The sequence below is a fragment of the Homo sapiens genome, chromosome 12, assembly GCF_000001405.40.
Source record: "Homo sapiens chromosome 12, GRCh38.p14 Primary Assembly".
In the NCBI taxonomy this organism is placed as follows: domain Eukaryota; kingdom Metazoa; phylum Chordata; class Mammalia; order Primates; family Hominidae; genus Homo; species Homo sapiens.
Window position 1 is genome coordinate 52,785,812 of NC_000012.12, and position 11,287 is coordinate 52,797,098.

The 11,287-nt window shown below is 51.4% G+C and overlaps 1 protein-coding gene across 1 annotated transcript, besides 1 other annotated feature; it reads right to left on the minus strand.

Moving 5' to 3' along the window:
* On the minus strand, positions 3,874-10,306 carry KRT3 (keratin 3). Its single transcript, NM_057088.3, has 9 exons — positions 9,587-10,306; positions 8,300-8,520; positions 7,352-7,412; positions 6,900-6,995; positions 6,428-6,592; positions 5,880-6,005; positions 5,395-5,615; positions 5,027-5,061; positions 3,874-4,547 (listed from the first exon to the last, which is right to left on the minus strand). Exons 1-9 carry the CDS (start codon positions 10,229-10,231, stop codon positions 4,231-4,233), a joined length of 1,887 nt encoding a protein of 628 aa, NP_476429.2. The 5' UTR covers positions 10,232-10,306; the 3' UTR covers positions 3,874-4,230.
* Positions 4,895-6,094: an enhancer, noted in NCBI's record as "BRD4-independent group 4 enhancer chr12:53184490-53185689 (GRCh37/hg19 assembly coordinates)". NCBI's record gives its function as "activates an origin of replication core promoter dependent on BRD2, P300/CBP, MED14 and CDK7 cofactors, and independent of BRD4, by STARR-seq in HCT116 cells {active_cell/tissue: HCT116}" and the evidence as "EXISTENCE:reporter gene assay evidence [ECO:0000049][PMID:35650434]".

Genomic DNA, 11,287 nt, shown 5'->3' on the forward strand with positions numbered 1-11,287 from the left:
TCACAAAGATATAGAAGGAAAACCTGAAATCTAAAAACACAACTTGGTCTTCCTAATGGGAAGTGAACCAGTGAGTCCGCAAGCTCTTAGAACAGGAAAACACTCTTTTGAGCATTTCTTCTGGGGAAGACAGTGTGGGGGTGGTTGGAGGGGATAGATGATGATAGATAGATAGATAGATAGATAGATAGATAGATAGATAGATAGATAGAGGCGTAGGGTAGAAGTTGGTTCCTCTATGTCCAACAATGATAGACTGGATTAAGAAAATGTGGCACATATACACCATGGAATACTATGCAGCCATAAAAAATGATGAGTTCATGTCCTTTGTAGGGACATGGATGAAATTGGAAATCATCATTCTCAGTAAACTATAGCAAGAACAAAAAACCAAACACCGCATATTCTCACTCATAGGTGGGAATTGAACAATGAGAACACATGGACACAGGAAGGGGAACATCACACTCTGGGGACTGTTGTGGGGTAGGGGAAGGAGGGAGGGATAGCATTAGGAGATATACCTAATGCCAGATGACGTGTTAGTGGGTGCAGCGCACCAGCATGGCACATGTATACATATGTAACTAACCTGCACATTGTGCACATGTACCCTAAAACTTAAAGTATAATAATAATAAAGAAAGAAAGAAAAAAAAAGAAGTTGATTCCTCTTTTTCATTGCAAGTGGATATACCTCTCCACACCCAGGAAAGAGAGATGTGGAAGAGAGAGCAAAGAAATTCTTGACCATTGGCCAAAGACCCCAAATCCCAGTTTAGGATCCAGGCTCACAAGTAGGCATTATTCAACAATCACTGTGAGCTCTTTGTGGGCAAAAGTATGCCTTAGAGGACAGGAAAAGCATGGACAACACAGGACTCACTATGTACTAGAAGAATGAAAAGTCTAGTCAAGTACAAGAAAGCAAACTCAAGCCCAGTGACTTAAGAGCTCTTGAAAAGTCAACATAGAATTGTGCAAAAAAACTATGCAAATGCTAAGGCAAAGGAAAAGAAGGAGCACTGAGAAGCAGGTGAAGTTCCCTGCAAGGGGTTTTCAGCCTGGATTAGAAACAGTCAGGGCCTGGCAGGGCGCGGTGGCTCATGCCTGTAATCCCAGCACTTTGCGAGGCAGAGGCGGGCGGATCACCTGAGGTCAGGAGTTAGAAACCACCCTGGCCAGCATGGCAATCTCTACTAAAAATGCAAAAATTAGCTGGGCTTGGTGGCTTGCACCTATAATCTCAGCTACTCAGGAGGTTGAGGCACAAGAATCACTTGAGCCCAGGAGGGAGAAGTTGCAGTGAGCCAAGATAGTGCCACTGCACTACAGCCTGAGTGACATAGGGAGACTCCATCTCAAAAAATAAAGAAAGAAAGAAACAGTCAGTGCTGGGCTGAGAATATCCAGCCAAGCATGGAGTTAACTCCTTGGGTCCTAGGTCCTGGCACCAAGGTAACCTGCCCTGGCCATTCCTCTGGAACAATGACATCTCCAAGAAATAGCCTCTCCACCCCACTCCTCCTGTACCAGGCTGTCCTTTAAGAAGCTGCATGGAGCCCCATCCCACCACCTCACCACTAGTTGTTACTTAGGTAGCAGGGGTTCCTGTAAACCCCACAGGAGAAACAAGTGCCAGCGAGCACAGGTCCAGGGAGGAACAGCAAAGGACAGAGGTCACAGTCTGAACATGAGACTTGAAACCAGTGTGCATAGTACCCAGGAAGGCCAGGCCTGCTCTGGGCTTTCCTTGGAGCCAATTTAGAACCCCCATGACTGCTTGGGTGGGGGCACTCTGAAGAACGTGGCCTAGGCTCCACCATCTGGTTGATTGCACTCCTGTCCCTGACTCTACATTCAAGTCTGCTTTGGTTCTCAGCATGGGCCCTCTTCTCCACCCTCTCTCTGGAAAAACTCATTAGTTTCCATGGCTTTAAAATCCACCCTTAAGCTGATGATGTCCAGATGCGAGTGTCTAGCCCTGACGGGGCCCCCTTCTGAATCTACAGGCTCACATCTCTCCTGGATGTCTCATGTGGCTATCTCGTGAGCAGCTCCTGCTTTTCTAAAGCACAGCTGAAGTTTCTCTCCACACCCATCTCGCCCTCCCACCCCTCCACTCACCTCAGTAAATGGCACCACCAACCACCCAAGTGGTCATACTGGGAAACTGGGCATCCTGGTTGAATCTCCCCTTTCCCTTAACCTCCCCACCTCCATCCAGTCCATTAACCAGTCCTGGCATCCATCCAACTCAGCCTCTAGTTTCATTTCTTTATATACTTCCCACAGCTTAAAATTATTGTGTTCATTTGGTTTGCTTACTTTTTTTGTTGACTCCCTTACTAAAATGAGGGTGGGGTCAACATCTGATTTCTTGCTCACCAATTCGTCTCCAGAATTTAGCCCAGTTCCAGACAGAAAATAAACACTTAATGAATACTGGTTGAATGAGTGAAAGAAGGAATTCATTGATAAAGACTTTGCCCAGGGTGAAGCAGCTGCCCCATGACTGGCCTGGCACAGTCCCATAGGGCGAGCCCCCTAAACTGGGTTGGGCACTGAGCCTCCCCACCTGTGTCTCCTACTCCTTTCCACAGAAGGATACCAACCAGAAAAGGTACCTTCCTACCCAAATGTGAAGCAACAGCTCCTAAATCCCACCTCCTTCAAAAAGTGGATCCAGTAGCTGGATTTCCAGGCTGAATCTCTTCAACCCCCAGTTGCAGGTTTTCTTTATCTAACTGCTTTTCCTCATCTCTAAAATAAATTCAGCCTTGTCCAAGGATGGAAATACTGCTTCCCTGGCCTGGCCTGGCCTGACTACACATTTCTATTCCACAGCCTGTGTGTTCTCTCCGGGTGCCCCGGCAGTGTGACATGCCTGGAAGGCATCCTCGAAGACAGTGTGGGGAAGTGGAGGGAGCTCCGGACTTGGGATGCAGGGCTTCATTCCTAGCTCAGGCATTCACATGCTATAAGACCCTGGAGGAGTCACCCCTCCTCTCTGAGCCTCAATCTTTTCATTTGGAAGCAAAGGCCTTGGACTCCTTGCTTCTGAGTCCTTTCCAGCAGTCACCTTCTGGACAGCACTCCCATGGCCAACTAACACATTATCAGAGCTTCTTGGTGCAGGGCAGAAGCCAGGATGACAAGAACTCTCATGGCTGGTGCACCTATTTTCAGGCCCCAAGTGCATGCACAGTGCTAGGTGCAGGAATGGGGGCCTCTGCAGGAAATGTTGGATTCAAGGAAGCTAACAGGTTTTCCTTGCTACTGAACTTCTTAGAAACTCTAATATGTGCTCCAAAAAGAAAAGATGTAATGGGCGTGGAGTCTTTTATTGCAGAGTGTCTCAATGGAATGGTGTTCCTGGGTCAGACTTTGACATAGGCTGCTCTGGGGCCTATTTCCATCCCTGGGCTTCCAGCAGCCCGCACTTTCCCGGAGCACCTTGATGGGGGAAAAGCTTTCACGATGTCAGCTGGAGTGAGAATCAACACCAAGGGAAGAAACCCTCTGTCCCCAAGGCCCTCTTAGTTCCCCCACATGAGAGAAGACAGGGAGGAGACAGATGTCTGCATGGGCCAGCCTTCACCACTAAGGACGGTAAGGGTACACAGGGTACAACAGCGTCGGGGAGCAGGACCTCTCCCTCCCCACGGTGCTCACAGAATAATGAACAACCGGATCCGCACCATGGACTGAGAAGACGAACTGCCTTTGTTTCAGAGGAAGAGTTCTCCAGCTGCTCTGTGGATCACAGAGCCCACATGGGAGAGGCAGAGGCAGGGAGGCCAGGGAGGTGACCAGGGAGCTCAGTGCCCTAAGGAGAAGGACATGGAGCGAATACTCAGAGGCCCGGAGTGAAACACAGTGCACTTTATTGGCGACAGACCGGAGGGGCGGAGGGGGCTGTGTGCTATATACATCAGAGCTGTAGTGAGCATCCCACCCAGGGAGGGGACTCCGGGGCAGCAGAAGGTGGCGGCCTAGGCCACACCTGGACAATCACAGGCACAGGCTGGAGCCGGAGAGAAGAGCCTGAAATTCTCGTGACTGGGCTTGGCCGGGGATCTGGAAGGAGGAGCAAGAGGCCACAAGCCTTCCAGCGCAGAGCCGCGTTCTTGGGGAGCATGGGGTGGCGCTGGGGGTGTTGCCAATATGGGGGCGTGGGGAGCGGAGGGGAGGCGCTGGAGTGGCTGCGATGCTGATGCGTGCTCTTTATCTGGAGTAGCGCTGGGAGGACTGGGAGGACTGGGAGAACTTGATGCTGCCGCCCCGGTTGCTGGCCGAGCTGAAGCCCCCGCCACTGACTCCATAGCGGGCGCCAGAGATGGAGCCAAAGCCGCTGCCACCGCTGAAACCGCTGCTGCCGCCGCCAAATCCACCGCCGATTCCACCGCCGCCTCCCCGGCCAAAGCCACTGCCTGAGCCGCCGCCCGCACTGAAGCCACCTCCTAAACCACCGCCCATGCCTCCGCCGTAACCTCCTCCATAGCCACCTGCGGAGGCGGAAGTCGTGCTGCTGCTGACCACGGCTGTGGGGGAGAGGACAGGACAGCGATCAGCGACGGCGCCCAGGCCAGCTGCTATGTTATTGTCAATGATCCACCGGGCCCACGACTATCCAGAGCTGATCAAGGCAGCTTTGCACAGGATGTTCACCACGAGCCGTTCCAAGGCCACTAGCTACTCACTCCCCTGCCGTTAAGCCATTATGAATTAGCCAGTGGTTCCTCCCACAGTACAGTCTTGATGACCCCCTTGGAGGGGATCTAGCGTCTGAATTTATCCTCCTATCAAGAGGCCCCCTGTTGGATATTCCACATTGGCCGTCGAAGCCTATTAAAAGTGCCCTGAACCCAGAACAATTACAAAAGCCAATCACTTCCCTCTCCTCTCCCAGAAAACCCCTCCAACTTCCGTAAAAATATGTTTAAATTAGTTGCTACTACCCTGGATTAGTGCAGATATTTCAGAATTAACTCTCATTTTCTTAGCTACTTTCGGTACTTACAGATGCTGACAGCACTCGGACACTCTCCAGACATCCTGTTTGAGAAAGCAAGAGAAAGTGGGCCCCGTCACAAAGCACATCACCAACAAGTCCACGGACCAAGGGCATGAATAGCAACCAGAGCTGAACAGAGAAGCCTGGCAAATCAGGTAAGCTTTCTCCACCCCTCTTTGGGCTGTAGCAAGGAGAGCCTGTGGGCACTGGTTGCATACGTGCCCTGGGAGGGAGTGGGCTGGTAGAGGCAAATGCTTCACCACAAGGCCTCTCTTTATACAGCAGGGCTCCATCCCCAGTTACTTGGTCACTTATCTGGCCCTTGGCCTATGACTTGAGCCAGGGGGTGTGGGAAGACGGGACTGGAGGCTCACCTGTACTCCTCGCCCTCCAGCAGCTTGCGGTAGGTGGCGATCTCCACGTCCAGGGCCAGCTTGACATTCATCAGCTCCTGGTAGTCACGTAGCAGCCGCGCCAGGTCATCCTTCGCCTGCTGTAGAGCAGCCTGCAGCTCTTGGAGCTTGGCATTGGCATCCTTGAGGGCCATCTCTCCATGCTGCTCGGCCTCGGCAATGGCCGTCTGCAGGTTGGCATTCTGGGGCAAGGGAGGTAGGAGGAATGAGCTCAGTAAGAGGGCCCCAGGCCCTTCCTGACATGCAATGGATTATCCCATCTTAAAGTCAGGGAACATTCCTCCTCCCCTAGTGCCTCCATCTTGTCTCCATTTGTGGAGATACTGCCCTGTGGGTCAGCCAGCCTGAGATGACCTCCAGACGTCTATTCCAGGGGAGGAGTCCTGAGATCCTAGCCCCTGCCCCTCAGCAATCATCCCAGGTGCCAGCATCCATGACCATCCCACCTGCTTCTTGACACCCTCGATCTCTGCCCGCAGCCTCTGGATCATTCTGTTGAGCTCTATGATCTCGCTCTTGGTATTTCTTAGGTCATCCCCATGCCTGCCAGCCGTGGTCTGCAGCTCCCCCAACTGCAGAACAGAAGGGAAGATGGGGTATTCCTGCAGCTTTGCTTGACTTGTTTCTACACCTCCAACATCACCCACCAAACCTTCAGAAGCTCAGTAAGGCATTTGCTAAAATGATACTGCATTGTGTTTCAGCAGGGAAACCCCCAAGGCAGCAGGAAAGAGAACATCTGGGTTGTTGTGGTAGAAGATTTTCCTACCCTGTAGTTCCTGAGCAAGTTGGAGTCAGTCCCACATAGCAGGCAACCATCTCCCCCAGGGGCAAGACTTTCTGCAACTGAACCACCATTAGAAGGATGACTTCAGAGGGTAAAACCAAAAGGCATTCACCCAGTGACCACTGGGAACTCACTACCCAGCTGTCCAATAGGCCATGGCCTCTCTGAAACCTCCAGTGGATCCCGTAAGAGGTGACTAGCACCCACCTTGGTCTGGTACAGGGCCTCAGCTTCGGCCTTGCTTCTCTGAGCGATATCCTCATACTGTGCACGAACTTCAGCAATGATGCTGTCCAGGTCCAGGGAGCGATTATTGTCCATGGACAGCACCACAGATGTGTCACTGATGTGGCTCTGCATCTGAGATAGCTCCTGTCAACACAGAGGGAGCTTGTTCACTTTTGGGGTCCCTGTAACAAGCACACAGGGCCCTGAAAGACTCTTGATCAACAGTCTCATTCACTGATTCCTTGCTCCACATGTGTATCAGCCACACCCTGTCCGCAGCCACTCAGAGAACCCCATGTCTGCAGCTTATCCTGTGGAATCCCTTCCAAGGGTCCTCATCTCCAGGCTCATTCCAGATGTCTTCTGGGGCCTATATACCAAAATGCACCAGCCTCAAATCTGGAAACACCTCACTCTCCCTCTGTCCCTTCTTAGTAGGTAACATCCTTACAGCGTCGTAGAGGGTCCTTAAGAAGTCGATCTCATCTATCAAGGCATCCACTTTGGCCTGAAGCTCCACCTTGTTCATATAGGCACTGTCCACATCCTGAGAAAAGAGGAAGATAAAGGCCTTATTCTCCCAATGAACAAACAGCAAACCACAACTGCAGCAAGAAAGAGCAGAGGGGACTGGTGCAGTGATGGTCCTTGTCTAAGACCAGTCTCCACTTGAACGGGCAATTTGTATCTCATTAGGATGGTCTAAGTTTAATCCTACTAAAAAACTAAAGACTGATGAACTAACTCTTTTAGGGATCTTCCAGACTAAGGTGCACCTGACTTCTGTTTATTGCTCCAAAGGCCTGAACTTGGCAGCTCTGTGGCAGTGGAGTGAGGAGATTCCCCCAACCCAGCCAGAAACCTGCAGCTGCAAGCCTCAGAAACCTCACACACAGCCCTTACCTTCTTCAGAGTCACAAATTCATTCTCAGCAGCTGTACGTTTATTGATTTCATCCTCATATCTGTGTGAATAAAAAAGAAACAGCTGAGTTTGGTTTTGAGGTCATCGTAAACACCATTGTTCCCTGGAACTCTGAAAGTTCATCTCTTCCCTCCCTCCATCCCTATCCTGCCCCTCTCAGATGAGCACATCCTCTTTACTATCTCCCTGTTAGTTGGGGGACCAACCAAGTCAATTTGCCCAGGCAAACTGTCTGGTTTTAGCACTAAAATTTCTGCATCCCAGGAAACCCCTCAGTCCCAGGCAAACCTCTGGATGGTTGATCACCATACCATGAGTTGTCCCAGAATCTTTCACATGCCAGAACCAGGATCTTCCCCAACCTGGCTCATGAGGAAATGCTTCCCCAACTCTAAACTCATCCGTTTTTTGTTTTTGTTTTTTTTTTAGACATAGTCTCGCTCTGTCACCGAGGCTGGAGTGCAGTGGTACAATCTTGACTCACTGCAACCTCCATTTCCAGGGTTCAAGAAATTCTGTTTCCTCAGCCACCCGACTATCTTGGATTACAGGTGTGTGCCACCACACCCAGCTAATTTTTGTATTTTTAGTAGAGATGATATTTCGCCATGTTGGCCAGGCTGGTCTTGAACTCCTGACCTCAAATGATCTGTCCACCTCGGCCTCCCAAAGTGCTGGGATTACAGGCATGAGCCACCAAGCCCAGCCTAAACTCATCCTCTTGCCACAATTTTATTTGCAAAGCACCATGCTTGGAGAAGGAAGGTGAGGGGGAACTGAATGAACCAAGCTGTCCTTCATGAAGGTAAGGAGAGGGAAATGGGCCAGGAGACGCCACTGCCCAGCAGTCAGGGGGCATGTAGAAGGGGCCAAGACTCTGAGACAGGGTGGGCCATGGCATCTTCCCACTCCTGCCCTGTCACTCACTTCTTCTTGAAGTCTTCCACCAGGTCCTCCATGTTCTTCAGCTCAGAGTCCAGGCGCCCTCTCTCCCCGAGGATGTTGTCCAGGTAGCTCCGCAGGTAGTTGATGTGATTCTCAAAAAGAGGCTCAAGGTTGTTTGTGCCTGAGATGGAACTTGTGCCCTGCTGCTGGAGCAGGTTCCACTTGGTCTCCAGGACTTTGTTCTGTTGCTCCAGGAACCGCACCTGCAATGGTTGCAGGAAGCAACATCAGGCAACACTTGTAGCAGAGGAGCAGAGGGGCCTTCACTCAGGTAGGACTAGGTGTCTATCTCCTGGGCCCCCAGCACAAAGGCCTAGAAAAGATGCAAAGATAGGCTCCTACTGTAGTCAGAGAGATTATGATCAGATGGGTGATGAGTCAGGACACTACACTTGCAGCGTGGTTTGGAAAGTTACAAAGGAAGGGGAAGTAGCTCCTACCTGAAAGCAATAGAATTATTGCTTGTTGTTCCTGGGAACTTCATGACCCTATCTTAACTTCCAAAACCACAGTACACTCTACAAAAATGCACATAAACCTCAGCAGCACCATTTCCACCCACGACTCTACTGACATGCTAGCTCTTCAAAAACAGTGAAGTGATGCTGGGAAGCTGGGAAGCAACACTGGCTGGCATGCCACAGTTAGCATGACAACACCTCTCTTGGGCCTGGAGGGGAGGCAGCCCCATGAGAACTGTCCTGGTCTGGAGAAGCTCACCGAGCACTCTTGTCTTCCTGACTAGGCTGAGTAGGAGTGCAAAGTCACTCATTTCTCTGCGCTCCCTTGGGACTAACTAAGGTTCTTATGCTCTTAATCCCTGCTCCAGGTAATCAGCCTCCTCTGCCTGGCACAGCAATATGAGGGGGAAAGGGCTTCCTGGAAAGCCTCAGAGGGCAGCTTGTATTTGAAAAGCCTCCCATTCTTGGTGGACCCTTCGCTGATGGTGGCTGTGGCCCTTGCCTTGGGCTGCCTGCCCTGCCAGCCTGGGCCTCAATGAGGCAATGACTGGAAACTTCAGCAGGGGTTCCCACAAACAGGATGTGTGGTGCTCAGGTCCAAATAGGGGACTGTTTTCTTTCTACACCTCCCCTCACTTGACCATGTAGACAAACTCCTCAACCCTGGATATCTTCCCAGACCCTAGAGTTCCACCTAACTCCTCACCCTCCAGTCTGGCCTATCCAAGAAACATTTAAACACTGTGTCCCAAAGGTCAAATTCAAAGTCCCCAGCCCAGGAAGGGATGACCAGTCAAAGCTTCATTACCTTGTCAATGAAGGAGGCAAACTTGTTGTTGAGGGTCTTGATCTGTTCCCGCTCCTGGGCCTTTACTTGCCCAATCTGGGGGTCGATCTCCACATTGAGGGGCTGCAGGAGACTCTGGTTGATAGTCACTTCCTGAATTCCCCCAGGAAAGCCCCCAGGGCCAAAGCCACCAGGACTGCCCAAGCTGCCAGGCCCACCAAAGCCACCAGACCCACCAAAGCCACCAGGACCACCAAAGCCACCAGCCCCTCCAAAGCCACCAGCCCCTCCAAAGCCACCAGCTCCACCAAAGCCACCTCCCATTCCTCTGCCACCACCAAAGCCACCACCAAAGCCACCTCCATAGCCGCTCCCAAAGCCACCTCCATAGCCACCTGCAAAGGCACAGCTGCTCCGCCCTCCCCCAAAGCCTCCAGCCCGGGAGCCGCCAGCTGCCACGCTGATGGAGATGCTCTTGTTGCCGCCCAGGTTGTAGAGGCTGCGACTGCCAAAGCCACCTGCTCCGCTCCGGAAGCCATAGGCCCCTCCGCCAGCTCCCCCAGAGTGGGCCACACAGCTCATCCTGCTGCTGCCGGAGACCACAGCAGAGCGGCCGGAGAAACCCTGGCTCCCGCCACCAGATGTCTTGCTGGCTTGTCTGCTCATGGTAAGGAGCTTGGCGAAGAGAAGAGTGTAAGTTAAGCAGGGACACTGAGAGTCAGAGGAAGAGGGATGGGAAATGAAGACCTGTGCAAAATAAATCCCTTTATATACATTTGAGGAGGTTGTTGGGCTCAAACGAAGGAGAGATAATTAATCCCAAATATTCATGGGCTGGGTTTGCCTCCAAGGCAATAAGTTTGTTCCAGGCTACCAAACACACCTTGAAAATAAGCTGAAATGGTAAAAGTGCTAAGGTGGCAGGCTTACCTGGTGAGGGGGTGGTGCCTGGTGTTGCCCCATGTTTGGGCATGGCCTCCTCCTAGCTCTGTCTGACAGGACCCAGGAGGCACGCTCACCTGCATCAGGTGCTCAGCAGCCATCCCTCTGCCTATTAGCTGCACCTGGGCCCTGCAGAGCGGTGCCCAGCTCTGGAGAGGATAGAGTGGAGGAGGTGTGGGGAGGTTCTGCTTCTCTGAGTAGTGGAGACAGTGGAGCCCACTCACAGCTCTGGGAAAGTATCTTAATGGAAGGAGTGATGCAGGTCTCTCCACAATGACTGAGTGCACAGTATGTGCCCAGCTCTACGCTGGCCTTTGGGATGAAGCGCTGACCTCTCCTTCTCCCTTCTTGGAAAAAAGCCCAGAACTATCACAAATCTGCCTCCTGGGTTCTCCCTGTACCCCAAGCTTTAGTTCAGGAGGTAGTGACCTTTTGGTTTATGACTATCTTTGGAGAAAAAGTCAAGTTAACACCTATGTATGTTGAGCAGACACTGGCAAAATCCAACATGCCTAATGTTTGTTTCTCTTTAAAACTTCCCAGAGAAATTATACACTATTACACATCTTGGGGTTTATCTATGGCTTCCTTTCTTGCTCCCCACATTTTGGCCTTTCTCTGGTTTTAGCTTAAGGCCTAGGGAACAAGAAATTCAAATGTCAAGTCAACAACAAATTCAGCAAATATTTACAGACTGCCAAATGTGTGCCAGGCCCTTTGCAAAACTCTGGAGACCCAGTCATGGACAAGACACACAGGGCCCCTGTGGGACCATTTTCT

What these genes read in the sequence shown, in the direction of transcription:
- KRT3 (NM_057088.3), bottom strand. Translation starts at nt 10,231, where the DNA reads ATGAGCAGACAAGCCAGCAAGACATCTGGTGGCGGGAGCCAGGGTTTC. An exon ending in GTGGAAGACTTCAAGAAGAA is followed by an intron (nt 7,413 to 8,299) that starts GTGAGTGACAGG and finishes TTATTCACACAG; the next exon opens with ATATGAGGATGAAATCAATA. An exon ending in TAAGGACCCTCTACGACGCT is followed by an intron (nt 6,593 to 6,899) that starts GTAAGGATGTTA and finishes CTGTGTTGACAG; the next exon opens with GAGCTATCTCAGATGCAGAG.